The sequence below is a fragment of the Homo sapiens genome, chromosome 5 (assembly GCF_000001405.40).
Source record: "Homo sapiens chromosome 5, GRCh38.p14 Primary Assembly".
In the NCBI taxonomy this organism is placed as follows: Eukaryota; Metazoa; Chordata; class Mammalia; order Primates; family Hominidae; genus Homo; species Homo sapiens.
The window spans coordinates 71,448,560-71,472,133 of NC_000005.10; the positions used below are offsets into that span (position 1 = coordinate 71,448,560).

General features: G+C 41.0%; 1 protein-coding gene across 9 annotated transcripts in view, besides 2 other annotated features; it reads left to right on the forward strand.

Annotated features, from left to right (window-relative positions):
- Positions 6,027-6,953: an enhancer, noted in NCBI's record as "H3K27ac-H3K4me1 hESC enhancer chr5:70750413-70751339 (GRCh37/hg19 assembly coordinates)". NCBI's record gives its function as "activates a minimal SCP1, AML or CMV promoter by ChIP-STARR-seq in primed H9 embryonic stem cells {active_cell/tissue: H9 hESC(primed)}" and the evidence as "EXISTENCE:reporter gene assay evidence [ECO:0000049][PMID:30033119]".
- Positions 6,954-7,879: an enhancer, noted in NCBI's record as "H3K27ac-H3K4me1 hESC enhancer chr5:70751340-70752265 (GRCh37/hg19 assembly coordinates)". NCBI's record gives its function as "activates a minimal SCP1, AML or CMV promoter by ChIP-STARR-seq in primed H9 embryonic stem cells {active_cell/tissue: H9 hESC(primed)}" and the evidence as "EXISTENCE:reporter gene assay evidence [ECO:0000049][PMID:30033119]".
- The window catches only part of BDP1 (BDP1 general transcription factor IIIB subunit), a 122,638-nt gene continuing 106,155 nt past the window's right edge, over positions 7,092-23,574 (forward strand). For all 9 annotated transcript variants that reach the window (XM_017009630.2, XM_047417372.1, XM_017009631.2 and 6 more), the window contains exons 1-7: positions 7,092-7,530; positions 10,020-10,296; positions 13,258-13,367; positions 15,499-15,558; positions 17,537-17,662; positions 18,795-18,928; positions 21,836-21,930. In XM_017009630.2, the coding sequence (XP_016865119.1) occupies positions 7,319-7,530; positions 10,020-10,296; positions 13,258-13,367; positions 15,499-15,558; positions 17,537-17,662; positions 18,795-18,928; positions 21,836-21,930 (1,014 nt within the window). In that variant the 5' untranslated portion in view covers positions 7,092-7,318. The remainder of the gene's footprint in view (positions 7,531-10,019; positions 10,297-13,257; positions 13,368-15,498; positions 15,559-17,536; positions 17,663-18,794; positions 18,929-21,835; positions 21,931-23,574) is intronic.

The window sequence follows — 23,574 nt, forward strand, 5'->3', positions numbered from 1 at the left end:
AGTTATGTATGATTTAGCAGAAAAAAATTCACAAAAAAAACTTTAGGCTAAAAAATAGATTCCATCCAGAGCTTCCAAATATATAATTCCATTAGCACAAATTACTCAATTTCAAATTTTTAAAAATCCCTTCTGCAATTCATTTGCTCTCCCACTCAAATATAATAATTATTGCTTTTTTAAAACAAGAAAATAGCTCCACTCTAAGTAAATGAATATCTCAAGAACAGTCATAAAAATATATTAGGCCAAAATTATGATGATTTTTACTATCCTAGTTCTCCAAGTGGCATAATGTAACAGCAAAGCTCAAATGTACTAGGGAGCTAAAGTTTATCTCTGATTTGTTCATGCTTTATCTACAGGTTTCTTAAAAGTCACATGAATCCTATCATTTCATATGGCTCTTTGAAATTCTCAGACACATCCATAACTTTACACAGAAGCATTGTGACCACACTCTTTCAAGATGTTTAATAAAATAAATGATGATAATGCAAACTAATGCAACATTTAAACTTTGCCAAGAACTTATTCTCTCATTTGATTCTTACGGGAATCCTGTGAAATAGGTTACCATAAGTATTTTTCTCATATGTTAGTGATGAGGAATAAAAAGAGCAAGTGATTGTCCTTTGGTGTTCGATAGCGGAAAACCTAATGTCTTCCTTTTTACATAAGTCCTATTGCTCCCCACTATGTCAAATAAATATGTTTATCTGAGTCATCTTTTTGTCAAAAAGGATCTTAAGTGGCTATATAAACAGAAGCCAGTCTTTCTTCATTTACTTAGGTTTGTTCCAAACAGTGTAAATTGTGATTATGATTTATTGAAGAAAAAATTACTCTGAGCTGACAGGGAACTTGTGATTTATGTATACTGGAATAACAACCCTTAGATTTCCTACAGACTTTTCCTGATCTTGGCTATTATTATTTAAATTGGGGATATATGAAGATATTTCCCAAATATTAGTCTTATGATTCTTACACAAATAGAATCTTGCTTCTGTATACCAATGTAGATTCAGCTATTACCTCCCTACCACTGTTTGTGGTGGTTTATCTGAACAGACCTTGAAAAATTACCGTTAATTATTTTAAATGGATCTATAAATACATATACATAAACAAGCCACCTAACTAATAACAAATTGATCTTGCAGCAGCAGCATCAAGCTAATACTATCACACAGAGGTTTGCTGAATGCTAACAGATTCTCATGTATTATACATATTTCTGCTTATGTCTAAATCATGGAGGCTGAATGACTAAACTCACCAGCCTTCAAGAGAAATTTTTATTTTTGATTCCGGTTTCACACACATATACTCATGAGTTTAAGATAAGATGAAATTTTAGATAAAAAAGAAAGCTAAACTGGATATCAGAAAACTTAGACTATAGTCAAAATTCTAGCAGTGAGTAGTTTTCTAACCCGAAGCCATTTAAAAAGCTTCTATTTAATAATTTCATTGGAAAATTTGAGGAAATTAAACTATATTATCTCTAGGATTTCAGTCAGTTATGAAAATACATCTATTTGACTAATAATTTGTGATGTTCTTTCTACCTAATTCAGAAATAATCAAGCAATTAAGAAGGAATTATTGTCTGCAAATACATGTTTTCTCCCTTCTCACACCCTTCGGTGCCCCAAACAACTTACTTTATACTATAAATAACATTATAGCAAGGATGTGTTGATTTCATAGTTCGAGTAATTAAAAAATCAGCCAGAAATTATTGATTTGAAATTGTAAATGGAGTAGATAAAAAAACTGCTAAGGTCAAGAATATTCTTTAAATGTTTTAAAATAATTATAACACGTTTCTTATAACGAGAACCGAAGCCCGTGGAGACTTGGCGGCGCCGGGAGCCCTGCTGCTACACACGCCTGGGAGAGCCCAGCGAGAGCCCAGAAAGCGGGTTCTGTTCTGCCGGAGGGATAGGCGTGTGTGGATTTTCCCCACTGTGCGCCAGGCACAGGGGCTCCACCAGCTCCCCACTTTTTTTTTAATAGGAAATCACAATAAACACTACAATATCTTACTTTTTGGCAAAGCACATTAGCTTTCATTCATCCCCTTGCGGAGGCGGAGAGGGGCGGATGGAGACTGAACAGATTGAGGGTAACTGCAAAAGGCACTGTCCTTTACATATTTTCCTTCCTTATTCTAAACACAACTCTGCAAGTTAGGCTTCATTGTTTTCATTTTGCATAAGAGACAGACTTAACTGCGTAGGAATTGATATGAGAATAAAATTTAAGACGGACTCTAAAGCATATTTATTTTCCAGTTTATTCCAGTGCCCTTGTCACGATCCACAGTGCTTCAGGAGTTTTAGGCTACTGACTGTGCTTAGGTTGTTCGGTGGGGAGAGAATGGCAGGGAGTGCAGTCTTAACCACAATTCAGAATAGCCCAGAATAACCTCGGAACCTAGTAAAAGCTGTGGACCATCTGCCATTGGTAGAAACACGTGTAGAGATGCTTCTGTGGCTCATGTAGCGTATAATTACTTCATCTCTTTCATTGTTATACACACACACACACACACACACACACACACACACACACACACACACACACACAAAAGAATAAAAACAAAAAGAGGCCGGGCGCGGTGGCTCACGCCTGTAATCCCAGCACTTTGGGAGACCGAGGCGGGTGGATCACGAGGTCAGGAGATCGAGACCATCCTTGCTAACACGGTGAAACCCTGCCTCTGCTAAAAAAAAAAAAAAAATACAAAAATACAAAAAATTAGCTGGGCGTGGTGGCCGGCGCCTGTAGTCCCAGCTGCTGGGGAGGATGAGTGAGGCAGGAGAATGGTGTGAACCCGGGAGGCGGAGCTTGCAGTGAACCGAGATCGCGCCACTGCACTCCAGCCTGGGCGACAGAGTGAGACTCTATCTCAAAAAAAATAAATAAATAAAAATAAAAACAAAACGATAACATTGTTACAAACTGAGATGATTTGGATACCCCACATTGCCCTATATTTTAAAAACTTTTATTTTGGAAGATCTGAAATTTATACAGTACAAAAGCATTAGTAACAAGGATAACGAATCCTCAAGGAGATGCGACCAAACTTCAATTATTACCTCATAAAATCGTCTATTTTAGAGAAGGTGGAGAAAGTGAAGACTGAGGAGCTCTGGAGATGAACTGTCTGGGTTGAAAGTCCATCTCTACTAATTAGTAGCTGTGTCAACTTGGACAGTATTTCATTATGTTAAAGCGTTCTTACCTGTAAAATGGGGAGGTATGTACCTTCTTCATTAACTGAATTAACGTATGTGAAGTACTAGGTCCCCAGCATATGGTAGAACTCAATATGTTAGCTCTTACTGTCATTATTCTTTCAAATTCAGAGAGCCTCGCACACATCACTATCCTATCCCCACACCCCACCTCTCTTCCTTAATACTGCTAGCCTCTGCTTCCACTTAGTGAAGTAACTTGAAGGGAAAAGATTGACTTTCTGGCACCGTGTTTTGTTTTGGAGACAGTATCTAACTCTGTTGCCCAGACTGGAGTACACTGGCGCAATCTCCGCACACTGCAGCCTCAGCCTCCCAGGTTCAAGCGATTCTTGTGCCTCAGTCTCCCAGTAGCTGGGATTACAGGCGGCTGCCACCCTGCCCCGGCTAATTTTTGTATTTTTCGTAGAGACGGTTTTTTGCCTTGTTGGCCTGGCTGATCTTGAACTCCTGGCCTCGTGTGATCTGTCTGCCTCGGCCTCCCAAAGTGCTGGGATTTCAAGCATGAGATTTCAACCATTCCAACCTCTGGCACAGTTCTTTATAGAGATAAGGTCATCTAAAGAGGGAATGGGGTGGGATTGGAAGGTAAGTGGTAGAGTTTTTTTGTTTGTTTTGTTTTGTTTTTTAGACGGAGTCTCCCTATGTCGTCCAGGCTGGAGTGCAGTGGTGCGATCTCAGCTCACTGCAAGCTCTGCCTCCTGGGTTCACGCCATTCTCCTGCCTCAGCCTCCCAAGTAGCTGGGACTACAGGTACCCGCCACCACGCCCAGCTAGTTTTTTGTATTTTTTTTCGTAGAGATGAGGTTTCACCGTGTTAGCCAGGATGGTCTCGATCTCCTGACTTCATGATCCGCCTGTCTCGGCCTCCCAAAGTGCTGGGATTACTGGCGCAAGCCACCGCGCCCGGCCGGTGAGTAGCAGAGTTGTTTTTGTACGTGCTCTCAATTTAATCTAATTGAACATTTTTCTTTGCAGCTGAAATTTTGCAGTTCTTAAGTTGTAGGGCTACACATGATATACCCCATGTACACAAAATGTGTTGTGTGTGTCTCTCAGAGAAAAGTAGAGATTTAAAAAATTCGTATGATGCCACTAAGAATTTACTCCACAAACTTGTGTAACAAATGTCTTATGACTTTATATTTAATAATAAAATTTAATCTGATTCTGTTCCCATCCCTTTACTGGTGGGAAATTAAATCTTAGTCACTATTTACTTTCTGACCTGTAAAAACTTGGGACAATGCCCTAGTCTCTTAAGTGGAACAGAAGACCATCTGGGGAAAGGCCCTGTGTCTTCAGTTGGTATCAGAATATGCTGTTCAAAGCTGTGTAGACCTGGCAGTGGCTCCAAGATTCCTGAGACATCTTTAGCAGGGTATTCTCTCGAATTCTTGAGCTTCTTTAAATAAAGAAGATAAAACTGAGATACTGTTCCTTTTCCAGAGTATTGCAGGGAGCCCACGGAATCCACAGACCTCCTCTTTTCTCTTCCTTCCTTCCTTCCTTTCTTTCTCTCTCTCTTTTTTTTTTTTTTTTTGAGACAGGGTCTCACTTTGTCACCCAGGCTGTAGTGCTGTGGTGTGATCTTGGCTCACTGCAACTTCCGCCTCCTGGGCTCAAGCAATCCTCCAACCTCAGCCTCCTGAGTAGCTGGGATTACAGGCAGAAGCCACCATGCTCAGCTAATTTTTGTAATTTTGGTAGAGATGAGGTTTCACCATGTTGGCTAGGCTGGTCTTAAACTCCTAGGCTCAAGTGATTCGCCTGCCTCAACCTCCCAAAGTGCTGGGATTACAGGCACGAGCTGTGCCTGGCCTCCAGACCTTCATTTTCTTCATAGTCTTAGAGATATATGTTTTCTCTTCTCTGCTTTCAGTCTTGCCTTCCTACTCTCAAAAGCACTTGCCTCTTTTTTGTTCTCCCTTTAGGTGATCAATTTCTTCAGTCAGTTCAGAATTTTATTCCTTTGACCTTTTGTTATTAATGTATCACCATATTCTTGTAGGATTTTCTTTTCCTTCTAAGAAGAAAGTCAGGCCTTTGTGTTCCCATGAGTCAGGGGATTTGTATCACTGGTTCAAACATTGGCCCAATACCTCCAAGGCCAACCTCAGCTCTGGCTATTTTTCCTCTCATCATAGAGGACTTCCCTAGCCACTCTACTGCCAGCCTCCCTCCCATTACTTTCTATCACATCATCCTGTACATTTCTCTCTTTTTTTTCTTCTTATTATTAAATTTTTGTTTTAAGGACAAGGTTTCACTTTGTCACCCATGCTGGAGGGCAGTGGCACTATCATAGCTCACTGCAGCCTGGACCTCCTGCCTCAGCCTTCCAGGTAGCTGGAGCTAGAGGTGGGAGCCATCACAGCCACCGCATGTAGGTAATTTGTTTTAGGGGTCTCAATATTTTGAGCAGGTTGGTCTGGAAGTCTTGGGCTCAAGAGATCCTCCCACTTCAGTCTCCACAGTAGCTGGGATTATAGGCGTGCCTCGCCATACCCGGCATTCAACCCTTAAATTTATTTCATGACATTTGATATACTTTATTTTATTGCAATTAATTAATTAATTCATTTATTTTAAGACAGAGTCTCACTCATTCTGTTGCCTAGGCTAGAGTGCAGTGGTGCCATCTTGGCTCCCGGCAGCCTCCACCTCCAGGGTTCAAGCCATTCTCCTGTCTCAGCCTCCCATAGCTGGGATTACAGGCTTGCACCACCAGGCCTGGCTCATTTTTGTATTTTTAGTAGAGATGGAGTTTAACCATGTTGGCCAGGCTGGTCTCGAACTCCTGACCTCAAGCAATCTGCCTTGCCTTAGCCTCCTAAAATGCTGGGATTACAGGCATGAGGCACCCACGCCGGGCCTGATACATTTTAAAAATATCTTGTTCATTTCTTTTTTGTATTTTCTCCTCCCAAATCCAGAACGTCTTGTTTACTGCTACCTCCTGAAGCAGATTAAGAACACTCACAATAATTTACAAGGTTTCAACTATAATAATTTTTAAACAGGCTGGAGTGTAGTGGTACGATCTCGGGTGATACATTCATATTAAAAAGTACACAAGGAGGTTGGGCGTGGTGGCTCACGTCTGTAATCCCAGCACTTTGGGAGGCCAAATGGGTGGCTCGCTTGAGCCTAGGAGTTCAAGATCAGCCTAAGCAACATGATGAACCCCGTCTCTACTAAATATACGAGAAAAAAAAAATTAGCCGGGTGTCGTGGCGCGTGCCTGTGGTCCCAGCAACTTGGGAGGCTGTGACGGGAGGATCGCCTGAGCCCGAGAGGTGGAGGCTGCAGTGAGCCAAGATCGCGCAACTGCACACTCCAGCCTAGGCGACAGAGCAAGACCCTGTCTCAAAGGACAAAAACAAAAAAGTACACAAAGGCGTACGGTAAATGGTCTTCCTACCACGACGTGTTTTCCAGAAACACATTCCTCTCCTGGGAGGTAACTATTATCAGTTTCTTCACACCAGCATTTTTAATCTATGTCTACTCAATTTAGAATTTCTAAACCCTTCAGGATCTTCAAAAGACAAAATCGGCCAGCGATTTTAATAGTTCCAGTAAAGGTTTGAGCAGAGAAGTGGACTTTCTTCTGTTCCTCTTTTCAACTACTCCTAAGGACTCCTGGAGAAGAAAGAGCAAATATCTCTGCATCTCAATTTCTGGTCCGCAGGTAACCCAGTCTCAGTAGCTTGGTAGTTACCATGGCTCCCAGTGCTGTGCGTCTGACGTCATTCTGCGGCGCTGGCTGATGGCGCAATCAGTTGCGGCGTCCTGTGAGCGCGGGGATGCTGGGAGGAGGGTGAAATTTAGCCATCGGTGTGTGGCAGGGTCATGAAAAAGCGGCGGCGGCGGGAGAGAGGAGGAGGCGGCGGCGGGGCAGTGAAACTACGGTAGCTGCCCCCTGAGCTGGTGGTGTGGCTTTGTGGGGAGGGCGTAGTTCCTAATCCCCTTTCCGGGCAGCCGCCGGGGCTCGGGGCTGTGAGCGGCCGTGAGGCTGCCTCCCCGGGCCCCCTGCCTCCGCCATGTTCCGCAGGGCACGCCTTAGCGTGAAGCCGAATGTCAGGCCTGGTGTAGGCGCCAGGGGCTCCACAGCTTCCAATCCCCAGCGTGGACGGGAGTCTCCCAGGCCGCCGGATCCTGCCACGGACTCTGCTTCCAAGCCCGCGGAGCCCACAGATGTGCCCACAGTCGATTTCGGTGGAGCGGAGCCCCAAGAAAAGGCTCCTAGGAGCAGGTAAGAGGTTGCAGAGGGAAGAATTTTCATTTGTCCCGCCTCTCCGGGCATGTCACCTGGAAGCTGAGCAAATGAATTTTATCACAGGAGTCCGCTCTCGTTTGCAGTAAGCCTTTCAGTTGAGGCTTGATGAAACCACTCCAAACTGCAGTTTAGTTGTCTGACCTGCAGGGTGTGGCTTGTGTGGATTTTGTCACGGTCTATAGATTCTCCGAGAGGAGACCATGTCTTCAAGTGGTGGTAGGGAGAATCGGGGTATGGCAGTCCTGAAGTGAAGAATATCCACACTATTCATTTGAGAATTTAGGTCACTATAGTTTTCATCCTTCTGGAGTGCTTTGCAGGGAAGTGTTTTTGTCTTTCAATTTATAAAATATTTATTTTTTAAAGGAGAAGATAAGTATTGCTTTGGCTTTACCGATTTATGTCAGTGAGTAAGAGTTCTGGTCACTTAATTGAAGTGTGCCTCTTTAACTATGGTGACCGTGTTTCCTGAATAGAGAAGCATGGCTTTAGCGTCATGTATCATATTTGGATTCAGGACTCTTTTAGTCTACAGGTAAACTTTTCTCAGGCAGAATTTGCTCATCTGCAAAATGGGAATAATATTGCCTACTTGGAGCGTTTTGGTGCAGATTGGAGATAATTCATATTAACTACCTTGCAGGGGATATAGCAGAATAGTTGCCCGCAAAAAGTTACTAGTTTTTTAGAAAGGTGATGGAGTAAATTTAAGACATGTTAGGCTAAGATGGTCTCTGTTTCTATATATATGAGGAAATCAGTAAACAGCCTTGTTAAGTGAAGTGAGATAGTACAAATTCTGTTTATGCTGTGATAGGAAGGTGAAACATTTATTTATTTTTGGAACATCTTCCTCTATTGGCCTGAACTGGTGCTGAGTGTATGGTGTTACGTTGATAGTTCAGTGATGGTTAGTAATTTCCAAGTTTATTACATGAATCTGTTTCAAAATTTCTACACAGAAAGGAGATACCGATACTAGTCGCTGTTACATTAATAAAGTTCTCAGAGATTTCGTTAATTATGTGTGAGTGCGTGATGGTTGATAATTTAATAAATTGCCCAAAGATTGTAGTTTTGAGATATTTATGGTCAAGGATATTTAATTTTTTTTTTTGAGTTGACATTTACGTTTGGGGAATATAATTTGTTTTTTAGTCACTTTTTTTGCCATTACTGACTCTGGGAAAGTGGTTTTTTTTTTTTTTTTTAATTAGTTTTTTTTTTAGATGGAGTCTTGCTCTGTCGCCCAGGCTGAAGTGCAGTGGTACGGCTCACTGCAACCTCCACCTCCCGGGTTCTTGCAATTCTCCTGTCTCAGGCTCCCAAGTATCTGGGACTACAGGCGTGCCCCACCACGCCCAACTAATTTTTGTATTTTCAGTAGAGACAGGGTTTCACCATGTTGGCCAGGCTGGACTCGAACTCCTGACCTCAAGTGATCCACCTGCCTCAGCCCAAAGTGCTGGGGTTACAGGTGTGAGCCACCGTGCCCAGCCTCTTTTTATTTTTTTGTGGGTCTTTGCTAGTTGTAAAACTCTATAGGATATATATTCTGTCATTATGCATTCAACATAATTGGGTGAAATGCAGATAATGCATGTATCCATAACAGCTAAGATACGAATTTAAATTGAAGTCTTCCTGGAAAGGTTATTCTATAAGTTAAGGCATTTTCTAATTTTTTATAAGTAATTATAAAATAGGAAAAAAGTAGACTGTTTTTAATTATTGACTTATACCACCTCTTTTCTTGACTTAAGTTGCATTTATAGACCATTCCTGAAATACTTATATCTGAGGTATACCATACCTAATATGCAATTTGGGGTGACTGAGTACTTTTTTTGACTGAAGTTTATTCTGATGGCTGTATAAGTAGAGTTGTACCTGACAAAAGATAAATGATTTCTGCCTCAAAGGGAATTGGGTTTGGCTACTGTAACTAAATGTTTTTCTTCAAATACTGCAATACAGATATTTCAGAGGTTTGGAGTTTTGCATATTTGATTTGACTGACCTCGGGTTGATAAGTAAAGTAAAATGCCGGTAGTTTAGACCAGTTTAAAATGTCAGAGTGAATTAAAATTTTTTTAAATTTTATATAGAAATTAATTATAAATTATTACTTTGTTACTTAGTAATTCAAATTAGGTTGACTAAGCTTTGTTCTGTAAGTTGGTTATTTGTTTTGAGGGGGGTAAGCCTATAATTATGTGCTGTAATGTGCCTAGGGACTTTATGTTTGAAAAAGATTAAGAGTCTATTAGAATTTACGTATATTTAAAAGATTTACTAAACAAATTTTTTTGTAACCTGTCATAATTATCATAAATCTCAAGTTACTAATTTTTTTTTTTTAATTACGAGATTGCAGTTTTGGATTTTCACCAGACTAGGTTTTAAAACTAGCATGTGTAACAGAAGATTCATGTGCCCTCTTTTTTCTTTTTTAATTTCAACAGTACTGAAAAGACTGGTGGTGACAATGATGTTGAAGAATCCAGTAGATCTTCCTCTACTGTTTCACAGAGAAGAAAGCGAATATCAAGTACTTCTAGCCTGGTTAAGTCTAGTGTCAGTGTTCCTTCAGAATCTCATCCCTTATCTACAATTAATCAAGAGGCTCCACAGCCAACTGCCACTTCAACAAAAGAGAAACAGCCATGCTCAGACAGATACCGAATATACAAAGCCCAGAAACTGAGGGAAATGTTAAAAGAAGAATTGAGAAAAGAGAAGGTAAGGGAGGAGAATCAGGATTTTGATGTTGCCTTCTATTTATGTTAGTAAGGAATCATTGGGAAGAAAAGCATTTGTAGCATTTTGATGGGGGAACAAAACCACATAACATCCCTTAGTCAATAGAACATCCCTTCTTGTTAATGGATTGATTGATACACCGTGGACTTAAATTACATTTTTCACTGATAGTAATTTTTACATTATTTATTTATGTTTTCACTGTTTTTGGTGAAGACCACAAATAAGTTTCATACGCATACACATAGATGCACATACACAAACATATTTATAAAATAAACCTTCAGTCTGATTTTTCACATAAAGATGTCCAAGTGATAAGTGATATATTTATTTGAATTAAGACAAGTATAGGCCGGGCGTGGTGGCTCATGCCTGTAATCCCAGCACTTTGGGAGGACTAGGGGGGCAGATCACTTGAGGTCAGGAGTTCAAGACCAGCCTGGCCAACATGGCAAAACCCTGTCTCTACTAAAAATACAAAAATTAGCTGGGCCTGGTGACGTGCATCTGTAATCCCAACTACTGGGGAGGCTGAGGCATGAGAATTGCTTGAACCTGGGAGGTGGAAGTTGCAGTGAGCCGAGATTGTGCCTCTGCATTCCAGCCTGGGTGATAGAGTGAAACTGTCTCCAAAAAAAAGACGAATATAGTTGAGCAGAATGAATTGGTAATGTTTTCTAAATTGACTATGGAAAATTACAAGTGGGAAAAATTTGTGTTATGCATATATTAGAGTCCATGTTCTTTTTAATCTTGAGGATTGATTTCTTTTCTAGAAGGGCAGGTAACAGCAGTAGAGCATGCTGGCCCTGGAGTTAAATACTTAGGGATTGAATCTCAGCTTCATTTCTTTACTAGCTTTGTGACCTTGGGTAATTTAATTAATCTATTTCCTCATCTGTAAAATAGACCAATAATAGTTCAGGTTGAGCATCCCTGAAATTGAAAATGCTCCAAAGTCTAAAATGTTTTGAGTGCCAAAGTGATGCTCCAGGGAAATGCTCATTGGAGCATATTGGATTTCAAATTTTCAGGTTAGAGATGCTCAGCCAGCATGTATTCTGCAAGTATTCAAAAATGTGAAAAAATCCAAAATGTGAATCATTTCTGGTCTCAAGTATTTCAGATAAGAGATGCTCAACCTCTATCTAGCTCATTAGAGGGTTGTGAAGATTAAATGAGTCAATACATGTAAAACACACTTAAACTGGTGTCTTGGGCCTTGTGCAGTGGCTCACGCCTGTAATCCCAGCACTTTGGGAGGCCGAGGTGGGCGGATCACCTGAGGTCAGGAGTTCGAGACCAGCCTGGCCAACATGGTGAAACCCCGTCTCTACTAAAAATACAAACATTATCTGGTTGTGGTGGTGCACGCCTGTAATCCCAGCTACTCAGGAGGCTGAGACAGGAGAATCGCTTGAACCTGGGAGGCAGAGGTTGCGGTGAGCCAAAATCGTGCCATTGCACTCCAGCATGAGTGACAGAGCGAGACTCCGTCTCAAAAAAAACCAACCAAACAAAAAAACTAGTGTCATGAAAATAGTAAGTGTCCAACCAGTGTCAGCTTCTGTTATGAATTATAAAATGCCTCTTAGTTTTTTTTAAATTAAGGGAAGGCATTTTGCTTGGTGCTTTATATCTGTTATCTTATGTAATTATATCAACTATGTGAAGTAGATATCACTGTTTCACACAGGAGAAAACAAGCTTTCAATTTATGTCTTCTAAAATGTAAGCCTCACAACAATTGCTTGAACCTGGAAGGCGGAGGTTGCAGTGAGCTGAAATTGTGCTACTGCATTCCAGCCTGGGCGACAGATCAAAGCCTCTAAAAATGTTTTATGGGTTGGGAATTGGGGGTGGGGGGATTAAAAAAAAGTTCTGTATTTTACAGAAACTGCTTATTTGCTTATTTAATTTATTTTGGGGAATTAAAGATTAAACATTTGCTTCAAGAATTTTACAAAATACACAGAATTTCAAGTCACTACAGGGTAAAAAAAAAGCTGTGTAAGCATAAATTCTCAGTGAGCTATTAAGATGTTTAGTTAGAAGGCATCAGTAAGCATTTTATACATTGAGCTTTATTAGTTTTATTCTTTGGTTATTTATTTAGTTTTGAGACAAGGTCTCACTGTCACCCAGGATGGAGTGCGCTAGTATAATTGCAGTTCACTGCAGCCTCAACCTCCCAGGCTCAAGTGATCCTCCCACCTCAGCCTCCCAAGTAGCTGTGGCTATAGGCATATGCCACCACATCCAGCTAATTTTTTTGTATTTTTTTGTAGAGATAGGGTCTCATTTATGTTGCCCAGGCTGGTAACTCCTGAGCTCAAGCGATCCTCCTGCCTCAGCCTCCCAAAGTGCTGGGATTAGAGAAATAAGCCACTGTGCCTGGCCACATTGAGCTTTTATCTAGTCCTAGTCACTTTAATTGTTAAAATCTAAATACTGCCTGGGTGTGTGGTTCACTCCAGTGCTTTAGGAGTGTGAGGCAGGAGGATCACTTGAGCCCAGGAATTTGAGAGCAGCCTTGGCAACGTAGGGAGACTCCATCTCTACCAAAAAAAAAAAAACCCCACAAAATTAGCCAGGTGTTAGGCAAGCATCTGTAGTCCCAGCTACTTGGGAGGCTGAGGTGGGAGGACTGCTTGAGCTCAGGAGTTCAAGGCTGCAGTGAGCTATGATTGCGCCACTGCACTTTAGCCTGGATGACAGAGCAAAACCCCATCTCAAAAGTAGATAAATAAAAACTAAAAGCTATTGAGGGTAATGTGCTACAACTTTTTAATATTCCATCTACAAAATTACATAATTGGGGTGAGAATAATATTAAAGCACTTACAGTGAACGCAACAGTGGACTGTATATTTGCATATAGTACATCTGAAATTCTTTAATATTTATAAAAGTGGATCTGTGTGTTTATGTATACAGAAACAATGGAAAAACAAATATGCTATAAATGAAAGTCAGAGGCCACCAGATCGTTCAAAAATGACTATGAGAGACTTCATATATTATCTACCAGATAATAATCCAATGACGTAAGTAAAATTTATTTCTGCTTTACTATCTCTTTTTTTTTTTTTTTTTTTTTGGAGGTGGAGTCTCGCTCTGTCACCCGGGCTGGAGTGCAGTGGTGCAATCTTGGCTCACTGCAACCTCTGCCTCCCAGGTTCAAGCGATTCTCCTGCCTCAGATTCGCGGGTAGCTGGGATTACAGATGCTCGCCACCACACCCGGCTAATTTTTGTATTTTTAGTAGAGACTGGGTTTCGCCATGTTGGCTTGCCTGGTTTTAAACTCCTTACCTCGGGTGATCCACCCGCTTCGGCTTTCCAAAGTGCTGAGATTACAGGCGTGAGCCACTGCACCTGGCCTTCTGTTTTACTTTATTTGGGTATGTAGTTATATAAATAGCACTTTTATAGTAAATTTTTTAGTTTTCCAAAAACATGTTGACAAAATTTGGAACACATATGTCCTTTTAAATAGAATTTCATAACAAAAAGTAGCAGTATTTCAAGTAACTGCTTTCTGGGGATGGTAGATTATGCCCTTTATTTCTGAGATTAAAAATAAATTTCCTGGCTGGGCACAGTGGCTCATGCCTGTAATCCCAGCACTTTAGGAGACCAAGGTGTGTGGGCCGCCTGAGTCCAGGAGTTTGAGACCAGCCCGGGCAACATGGTGAAACCCTGTCTCTACAAAAAGTACAAAAATTAGCCAGGCATGGTGGCATGTGCCTGTAGTTCCAGCTATTTGGGAGGCTGAGGCAGGAGGACTGCTTGAACCCTGGCATTTGAGGCTGCAGTGAACCATGTTCATGCCACTGCATTCTGGGTGCACTCAGGGTGACAGAGCGAGATCCTGTCTCAAAAAAAAAAATGTTTTTTCTTTGTTATATTAGTTACCAAGGCATAGTGAAACCAACTAAGCCACTTTTCTGTAATCAAGATTGCAATTTTGGCCAGGCGAGGTGGCTCATCCCTGTAATCACAGCATTTTAGGAGGCCAAGGCGAGAGAATTGCTTGAGCCCAGGAGTTTGAGACCAGCCTGGGCAATGTAGTGAGACCCCATCTCTACAAAAAATACAAAAATTACCTGGGCATTGTGGCGCACAGGAGGCTGAGGTGGGAGGATCACTTGAGCCTGGGAGTTCAAGGCAGCAGTGAGCCAAGATTGCACCACTGCACTCCAGCCTGGGAGACAGCGAGACTCTGTCTCATTTAAAAAAAAAATGTTTGAAAGGATTGGAATTTCTATTTTTAACATACTATAAACTGATCTAAAGGAGTGATCCAAGTTTTATGCCCTGCCTTCTAATAAAGACAGTAGTAGTGTGATTAATAAATCCTCCAAGAACAAAGCTTCTTTATTAAAGTTAGCCTGGGGTTTCTGAGGCAGGTTTATAATAAATCTCATTGTTGTATTGTTGATGGTTTAGCAGGTAGAGGTAGGAGTTGGGACAGTTCCTCAGCATAGCCCTTTTTCAGATTCACCAGGTCTTTGGCCCTGTTGAAGAAAGGGCCAGAAACCTAGGTTTTGAGTTGTTTAACATCCAGGAGTTGGAGACAAGTCACCTAAGTAAGCTGCTTCATGCCTTGGGATTGGGAGCCTCCTTTCACTGAGAAGTTAGAGGATAAGAACATTCTCTGTTGGGCGTGGTGGCTCATGCCTGTAATCTCAGTGTTTTGGGAAGCTAAGGTGGGAGGATTGCATGATCCCAGGAGTTTGAGACCAGCCTGGGCGATATGGTGAGACCTCGTCTCTACAAAAAATTAAAAGACAAAAATTAGCCTGGTGTGGTGGCATGCACCTGTAGTCCCAGCTACGTGGGAGGCTGAGGTGGGAGGATTGCTTGAGCTCAAGAAGTAGAGGTTACATGGAGCTGAGATCACAGCACTGCACTTCAGTCTGACACAGCAAGACCCTGTTGTTGTATTAAAAAAAAAAAAAAAAAGTATTCTTTACTTAGGACCTAACAAATTATTTGTATGTGATGACAAGCTTTTGACTGAAAAGTTGATTGTTGGATTGTACTGTCATTAACGAAATGCTGTGATATATCATTAAAAATTAGAAGTTAGAATAATTTTCTTCTTGCCTACAGATAGAATTGGGAAGATATAAATTAATAATTTATTAAAGATATTGTTATTTATGTTCAATAGTTCTTCACTGGAACAAGAAAAGAAAACTGAAAAGCCATCGACTCCAGTCCAGACAAGAGAGTAAGTATTTTATTTTTGAATATATTCTATTCCTACATTTTTTAAGAAATGAGATCAAATGGTGCTTCCTGTTATAGTTGAATTACATTTGATTGGGGTTGGGCACAGTGGTTCACTCCTGTAATCTCAGCACTTTGCGAAGCCAAGATGGGAGGATTGCCAGAAGCCAGGAGTTGAGACCAGCCTGGGCATCATAGTGACATTTTGTCTCTACAAAAAATGTAAAAATAAGCTGTGCATGGTGGTGTGTACATGTAGTCCTAGTTATTCAGGAGGCTGAGGTGGGAGGATCGCTCGAGCCCACATGTTCAAGGCTGTAGTGAACTATGATCACGCCACTGCATTCCAGCCTGGGTGACAGAGCAAGACTTTGTCTCTTAAAAAAAAATTACATTTGGTTGGGCTATTGTTTTTGTAATTTTAAAATTTTAATTTAATTTTTGAGACAGGATGTTGCTGTGTCACCTAGGCTGGAGTGCAGTGGTGTGAACATAGCTCACTGCAGCCTTGACCTCCTGGGCTCGTGATCCTCCTGCCTCAGCCTCCTGAGTAGCTGGGAGTACAGGTGTGTGCCACCACGGTTGGCTAAATTTTTTAGTTTTTTTTTTTTTTTTTTTTTTGAGATGGAGTCTTGCTCTGTCACCAGGCGGGAGTGCAGTGGTGCGATCTCGGCTCACTGCAGCCTCTGCCTCCCGGGTTCAAGCGATTCTGCTGCCTCAGCCTCCCGAGCAGCTGGGACTACGGGTGTGCGCCACCATGCCCAGCTAATTTTTGTATTTTTAGTAGAGACGGGGTTTTACCACGTTGGTCAGGATGGTCTCCATCTCTTGACCTCGTGATCGGCCCGCCTCGGCCTCCCAAAGTGCTGGGATTACAGGTGTAAGCCACCATGCCCAGCCTAAAGTTTTTAGTTTTTGAAGAGTTTTTTTTCATAGAGATAAGGTTTCACTATGTCGCCCAGGCTGGTGGTCTTGAACTTCTAAGCTCAAGTAATCCTCTCGCCTCAGCCTCCAAAAGTACTAGGATTACAGGCATGAGCTGCTGCATTTGGCCATTTTCCTTAAGGCTCAAATGAGCATGAAAATACTAACCCTGAAGGATTGTACTGAAAAGTTAATCAAATAATCTAGAAACTAATGCTATATAACTATAAGCATTATTATTATTATTATTATTTTTACAGATAGGGTCTTGCACTGTCACCTAGGCTGGGGTGCAGTGGTGTGATTAAACTCTTGGCCTCAAGAGATACTCCTGCCTCAGTCTCCTGAGTAGCTGGGACTATAGGCACGCATCACCATGCTGGGCTAATTTTTAAATTTTTTTTGTAGTGGTAAGGTCTTGCTATGTTGCCCAGGCTGATCTCAACTCCTGGCCTCGAGTGATTTTCCTGCCTTGGCCTCTGAAATTGCTAGGATTACAGGCCTGAACCACCATGTCCTGTCTGTTTCTCTTTATTTTAAAAGAGAGTAAAGACTGCTTGGGCCAGGCACGGTGGCTCACGCCTGTAATCCCGGCACTTTGGGAGGCTGAGGCGGGTGGATCACGAGGTCAGGAGTTTGAGACCAGCCTGGCCAACATCGTGAAAACCCGTCTCTACTAAAAATACAAAAATTAGCTAGGTGTGGAGGTGCGCGCCTGTAATCCCAGCTACTGGGGAGGCTGAGGCAGTAGAATGGTGTGAACCCAGGAGGCGGAGGTTGCAGTAAGTCGAGATCATGCCACTGCACTCCAGCCTGGGTGACAGGGCGAAACTCCATCTAAAAAAAAAAATAAGACTTCTTACTAAATGTCTCGAGATAAAACTTGAGAAAATCCTCTAATTGCGTCCTTAATAACACATACTGTTTTCATTTGGATTATAGGGAAAGTTGGAAATAGCTAGAAGGTTGAGTTTGTAATCATTTATTTTAAGTTTTATACTATTTAGGCACACTTTTCATGCCTTTGTGAATTAACTTATCTTTATATGTGGTAGGCAAGAAGGTAAGAGTACTCCTAATGCTGAAGATAATGAAATGGAAGAAGAGACAGATGATGGGCCATTACTGGTTCCTCGAGTAAAAGTGGCAGAAGATGGTTCCATTATTTTGGATGAAGAAAGGTATTTAGAAAAGAGAAAAAGTGAGATTGTGGTTACATGAGAACAAACATGCTTTGTCTAGTGAAAGAGGTCCTCTTTCTGTATTGGCCTTTGTCACTTAGACCTTGACGTTCTTATTTGCATAATGAATATTGTAAATAGAAAAGTGGGTTAGATTAATTTGTAAATTTTAGTAATTTTTATAACTATTTTGTATGAGAAGATGCCCTATCATCTATTAACCTAACACCATTGTTTTATTATCTTTACTGGTCATTGAGTCAGGCTGTTGAACTAATCATATGCTGTCTTCCACTGAGGATAAATTTCTAAGATTGACACAGTCTTGAAGTCAATATTCAAGTTCTCATATTATTAAGAGCATATCCTGGTGTGTGGTGATAACTAATGGATATACAATGAAATGTAGGTTTAACATATTTTATGATTTTTGTTATGGTGAGGTATAATTCATCTTTTGGTTTAATTTCTCAGTTATAACATTAAATTTTGCACATTGGGCATTGTGGAATTTAGTTGTCTTAAGGGTTTTTTTTTAAAAGATGATAAATTAGTAAGTAAATAAATAAAGCAATGGAAGGTCTTTGAAAGTTTAGCCAGTGAAAAATAATTTTATAGCATTCACATTCTATAATTAAACATAAATGTAATACTGCTAATAATAGTTGTTTTTGTGTGCTATTTTCCATTAGTTTGTGATGATGATTTTACTGGTCATTAAATAGTTAGAGCATATTTAACTGCTTTCTCTGCAGGAATGTAAAATATAAAGTGCTTGTGTTTTTCAAAATTTCCATGGAGTCCAGCACAGTAATACATATTGAATATCAAAGACATGTGCAAGTCAATAATACAAATACCGTTTTATAATACGTAGCCCAAAGATGTTTTGTAAATATTATATTGCTGTTATGGATTTTGAAAATGAGTTGACATTTCTTTCTACCCTCTTGGAATCACATTGTAGGTAAAACTTAGCAGATGCTTGGAAAATACCCATATTTCACATAGGTATTATTATGCCTTTGATATGATTGCCATGCTAAACCTCAAAATATAACTATTTACATCTCATTTGCTATTTGTTTCCTTGTTTTTAGTATACATCTATTTAAAAATGTGTTTATTTCAGTTTAACTGTAGAAGTTTTAAGAACAAAAGGCCCTTGTGTTGTTGAAGAAAATGACCCCATATTTGAGCGCGGTTCTACAACTACATACTCCAGCTTTAGGAAAAACTATTACTCTAAACCATGGTCAAATAAAGGTAACTAATTTTCATTTAAAAATGTGTAAGTTCTCTATTTGAAATGAATTGACTGTTTCTGAATTAAATCAGTTCTCCCCTAAGTACATAAAATGCAAACTACCATTTTATTCCAGCTAATTTTATTGACACCTCTATCTTATGCCCTCCATGGAATGGTATCTCTGACTTTGTCTTACAAATCTTCAAAAAAATTTTATTTTTTATAGCAACTGGGTCTCAGCCAGGTGCAGTGGCTTACACCTGTAATCCCTGCACTTTGGGAGGTTGAGGCAGGAGGATCACTTGAGGCCAGGAGTTTGAGACCAACTTGGGCAACAAAGCAAGACCTCATCTCTACAAAAAAATTAAGAAAAAAAATTAGAAAGTAGAGATAGGGTCTTGATTGATTGCCGAGGCTGGAGTGCAGTGAAACTATCTTAGCTTACTGCAGCCTTGAACTCTTGGGCTCATGTGATCTTCCTGCCTCAGCCTCCCAGAGTAGCTGGCACTACAGGCGTGTGCCACCAAACCCAGCTAATTTTTTGAAAAAAATTTTTTTATTTTTTGAGACGGAGTTTCCCTCTTGTTGCCCAGGCTGAAGTACAATGGCACGATCTCGGCTCACTGCAACCTCTGCCTCCTGGGTTCAAGCGATTCTCCTGCCTCAGCTTCCCAAGTAGCTGGGATTACAGGCATCTGCCACCACCCCCAGCTAATTTTTGTATTTTTAGTAGAGATGGGGTTTTATCATGTTGGCCAGGCTGCTCTCAAACTCCTGACCTCAGGTGGTCTGCTCACCTTGGCCTCCCAAAGTGCTGGGATTACAGGCATGAGCCACCGCACCTGGCCTGTGTTTTGGATTTTTTGAAGAAATAAGGTCTCAGTATGTTGCCCAGGCTGGTCTCCAATGCCTAGGCTCAAGCGATCCTTTGCCTCCCGAAGTGTTGAGATTATAGGCGTGAGTCGTTGTGCCCAGCCCAGAAATTTTTTTTTTTTTTTAATTTCTTTCAGTCACTGTTCTGCTGAAAGAAATATTTTTTAAGAATTACCTTTATAGTCGTTTTGGCTGGAATGTTCCTCTCTGTCAAATCTCTACAGTAAATACCATTTAAATAAAAATTAACAATACAATATTTCCTTTTTTTTTTTTTTTTGAGATGGAGTTTCGCTCTTGTCGCCTAGGCTGGAGTGCGGTGGCGCGATCTCGGCTCACTGCAACCTCTGCTTCCTGGGTTCAAGCGATTCTCCTGCCTCAGCCTCCCGAGCAGCTGGGATTACAGGCGCCTGCCACCATGCCCAGCTAATTTTTGTGTTTTTGGTAGAGATGGGGTTTCACCATGTTGGCCAGGCTGGTCTCGAACTCCTGACCTCAGGTGATCCGCCTGCCTCAGCCTCCCAAAGTGCTGGGATTACACGCGTGAGCCACTGTGCCCAGCCAACAATACAATATTTCTAATGCGAATAATGTTCTACCTCAGATAATATTGTATAATAAAGCTTCTATAGATAAATATGCTGTTAAAAATCTGTTGCATGTTGGTGCTTATTGTTTTTATTTTAAAAACAGTAGTTTTGAGGAAAAATTCAAACAGCAGGATATAGAGTAAAAAGATTCTATACTTCCCTTCTTTCACTTCCCTATTCCTATTCTCCTGAAGTGTAACTTCTGTTAGTAGTTTCTTTTTTTGAGACCGAGTCTCACTCTGTCACCCAGGCTGGAGTGCAGTGGTGCGATCTTGGCTCACTGCAGCCGCCACCTCCTAGGTTCAGGTGATTCTCCTTCCTCAGTCTCCCGAGTAGCTGGGATTACAGGCATATGTCACCATGCCCAGCTAATTTTTGTGTTTTTAGTAGAGACGGGGTTTCACCATGTTGGCCAGGATGGTCTGGAACTCCTGACCTCAAGTGATCTGCCCGCCTCGGCCTCCCAAAGTGCTGGTATTTACAAGCGTGAGCCACCGTGCGTGGCCTCTTGTGTATTTTTCTAGCTACTTTCTTTATATACTACTTAGCACATCTTAGTTGCCTATGTAGTGTAACCCTATCCTGAGTATGACTCATAGCTTTCTTCAGAGCACTTTGAATAAGATCAGCTAGGCAGAATGAATGTTTTAAAAAAAAAATTCCAGATGCTTTTGTATGATTTCTTTTTCTTTTTTTTTGAGGTGGAGTCTCGCTCTTTCGCCCAGGCTGGAGTGCAGTGGCGCCATCTCAGCTCACTGTAACCTCCGCCTCCCGGGTTCAAGCTATTCTTCTGCCTCAGCCTCCCCAGTAGCTGGGATTACAGGTGCACGCCACCACGCCCAGCTCATTTTTTTTTTATTTTTAGCAGAGACAGGGTTTCACCATGTTGGCCCGGCTGGTCTCAAACTCTTTTTTTTTTTTTTTTGAGATGGAATTTCACTTTTGTTGCCCAGGTTGGAGTGCAATGGCACGATCTCGGCTCACTGCAACCTCCGCTTCCCGGGTTCAAGCGATTCTCCTGCCTCAGCCTCCCACATAGCTGGGATTACAGGCATGTGCCACCATGCCCAGCTAATTTTGTATTTTTAGTAGAGACGGGGTTTCTCCATGTTGGTCAGGCTGGTCTCAAACTCCTGACCTTAGGTGACCCACCCGCCTCAGCCTCCCAAAGTGCTGGGATTACAGGCGTGAACCACCGCGACCGGCCCTGGTCTCTAACTCTTGTCCTCAAATGATCTGCCTGCCTTGGCCTCCCAAAGTTCTGGGATTATAGGTGTGAGCCACCATGCCCAGCCTACGATTTCTTATACTGAAAAGTTTTTATTTATAATAAGGTGTTTTTAGGTATTGCATGGGGATCTTTCTAGTAAAATTAAGTACTGTCAAATTCTGTAAGATTTCTTTTCTCTGAAATATTGATATAATTAATTTTCAATCATTCTAAATCTTTTATTTTCACAGAAACAGATATGTTTTTTTTAGCCATCAGCATGGTAGGAACTGACTTTTCTATGATCGGACAACTTTTTCCTCACAGAGCAAGGATAGAAATTAAGGTAAAGTAAACCCATCACATTTGTTGATTGGAAAGAGACCAAACATTACAAATGTTAGTAGTATTATTCGCTTACCTTTGGTTTAAATCTTAGTTCATCTTTTTTTTTTTTTTCATTGAGACAGAGTTTCACTTTGTTGCCCAGGCTGGAGTGCAGTGGCACAGTCTCGGCTCACTGCAACCTCTGCCTCCGGGTTCAAGCAATTCTCATGCCTCAGCATGTCACATAGCTGGTATTACAGGCACCTGCCACCACGCCCGGCTGATTTTTTTACTGTTTTAGTAGAGACGGGGTTTTACCATGTTGCCCAGGCTGCTGTCGAACTCTTGAGCTCAGGTTAATCCCCCCATCTTGGCCTCCCAAAGTGTTAGAATTACAGGCTAGAGCCACCGTGCCCAGCCCTTTTTTTTTTTTTAAACTGTTATGATGGTTTTGTTACATTTATCCCTCTTTATTGAAAAGTAATATTTATCAGTTCTGATATGGGTATAATCTTCTTTATGTTAGTTTCATATTTTCTTATATCTTCTTCATTTCTAAAATGAATTTGAGGCAGTACCAATAAAAATGCACTGCAACTAAGATATAAGAAGAGTTACATAATGAAAAGAGAAGATAAATGTACCAGAGTACTTTGGTTAAGGGTAGCTTTTTTTTTTTTTTTTTTTTTTGAGATGGAGTCTCGCTCTGTTGCCCAGGCTGGAGTGCAGTGGTGCGATATCGGCTCACTGCAACCTCTGCCTCCTAAATTCAAGTGATTCTCCTGCCTCAGCCTCCCTAGTAGCTAGGATTACAGGCGCACACCACCACGCCCAGCTAATTTTTTATTTTTCGTAGAGAGGGGGTTTTACCATGTTCGTCAGCCTGGTCTTGAACTCTTGACCTCTGGTGATTCACCCACCTTGGCCTCCCACCAAGTGCTGGAATTACAGGCGTGAGCCATCATGCCCGGTTGAGGGTAGCTTTTTCAATGCAAAATGTATTTCAGAATTTCCTAGGAAAGCTTAAAGAGAAGAAATCTGAGTTTACACAGTTCTCATTTTCTGATCCGTTGCTTTCCTAGGCCCCCTTAACTTTGGGACAACCAGTGGCACTAATAACAACAGTGATGTCAGTTACAGCTATTATATGCCCAAGAGGATGAGCTTTCTCTGTTTTTTAGTTTCTTTGCTTGAGAAACTTTATACAAGTTTTCTGGGTTTAAGTGCATTTGAGTGTCATCACACTATGTTGCCATAATGCATTCTCAATTGATAGTGAGATCTTTACTCAACCATGGGCTTTTTACTTCATTTCTCATCCCTATCATGTTCATTACATTAATAAAAGGAACCATTAGGAAGGTATGTTTTTTCCACTAGAACTAAATTAGGCATGGATTGTCTGGGGACATTACATAAGGGGCATTGTACAGTGTAATGAAATAGTCTTGTTATTTCTGCAAGAGATGAGGAACTTTATATTCTTCATGTTCATTTTCTAATGTTGATCTTTGATAAAAGAACAAAATGTTAAAATTCTGTGAAGGCTAGAAATTGATTTTCTGGAATTGGAGTGCTCTGCTGATCTGTGTAATTAATTATAAATTTGTCACTGGGCTATTTGTCTCAAAAATCATGTATATTCTTTTCCTGAAAGGTTACT